At 34.9% G+C, this 1,100-nt stretch overlaps 1 annotated feature.

Annotated features, from left to right (window-relative positions):
- Positions 358 to 859: an enhancer, noted in NCBI's record as "NANOG hESC enhancer chrX:126884520-126885021 (GRCh37/hg19 assembly coordinates)". NCBI's record gives its function as "activates a minimal SCP1, AML or CMV promoter by ChIP-STARR-seq in primed H9 embryonic stem cells {active_cell/tissue: H9 hESC(primed)}" and the evidence as "EXISTENCE:reporter gene assay evidence [ECO:0000049][PMID:30033119]".

The following is a 1,100-nucleotide window of genomic DNA, read 5'->3' as shown; positions in this document are numbered from 1 at the left end:
ATTCTGTTTAATTTTATCTATCTGCACTTGCAAAGTAAAAGCTAAAAGCTTCCCTGTAGTTAGGTAACTACGCCTGGATGAATGAACTTGGACATGAAGGCTTAGGTTGTGATGAAAATGGTATTATTAAAGATTATTGGGTATTTTTCAGCCACCTGATTGAGAGATTAGATAGTGAGGTACTGGCTCAATCAAAAGATTCTTTCCTGATTCTTTCAGCATTCAACATCCATATTTCCTCATATGTATCACATATTTCTCATTTATTAAAATAACTAACATTTGAAAGTTTACTATGTGCCAAACATGATTCCTAGAGCTTTATGTGGGTCATCTCCCTTAACCTTCACAACAGCCCAACGAGTAAGGGTTATTATCGTCTACTTTTTTACAGATTATGAAACCAAGACCTAGAGTATTAAATAACTTACCCAAAGTTACACAGATAGTAAATGGTGAAACAGAATTATATATGTAAGCAATCTTGTTTCAGAGCCTTTATTCAACTGCTACCCTATGCCAGCTCTTCATTACCAAATGCTTTTGTTATTTTTCTCTTTTAAATAGCCTTCTAAGCTGCCCAAGTCTTATTACCTGCTGAGTAGTTCAATGTGTTGGTTCCCCAAAGAGTGCTTTTGTTAAACATTTTATCCCAATTATTATTCATGTTCATTGGAAAAAGGCTAGCAAAACCCATAAGTAAAGTAAAAGTGACGGTCTCTCCTTAATCTCACCAACGCTACTGAATTAAATTCTCTGTATTTCATGTTCTCTGTCTAAATCCTGGGATAATACCTGCTTATTTCTATTGCCACCTTCCTGTTATTCAAATCATGTGAATGCCAAGTCCATGCTTGTAGGCATCATAAATATTATTTAGTTATTTTACACAACACACACACGCAACTGTGAAGTATGTATTATCAGTTTTCAGATGAGGAAATTGAGGCCTACAGGTTATGAACTACACCAAGTAACACTACTAGAAAGTAGCAAAGTGGGGTTCCAACTGAAGTCTCCTGACCCTCAGAAATAAACAATTTCTACCACATTATACTGAGTACATATTGAGGTTGGCAATTATAAAATGTATGAATCTA

This window comes from Homo sapiens, chromosome X, assembly GCF_000001405.40.
Source record: "Homo sapiens chromosome X, GRCh38.p14 Primary Assembly".
Lineage (NCBI taxonomy): Eukaryota > Metazoa > Chordata > Mammalia > Primates > Hominidae > Homo > Homo sapiens.
Note: the sequence above shows the minus strand (reverse complement) of the source record. Positions and strands in the feature narration are given on the sequence as shown.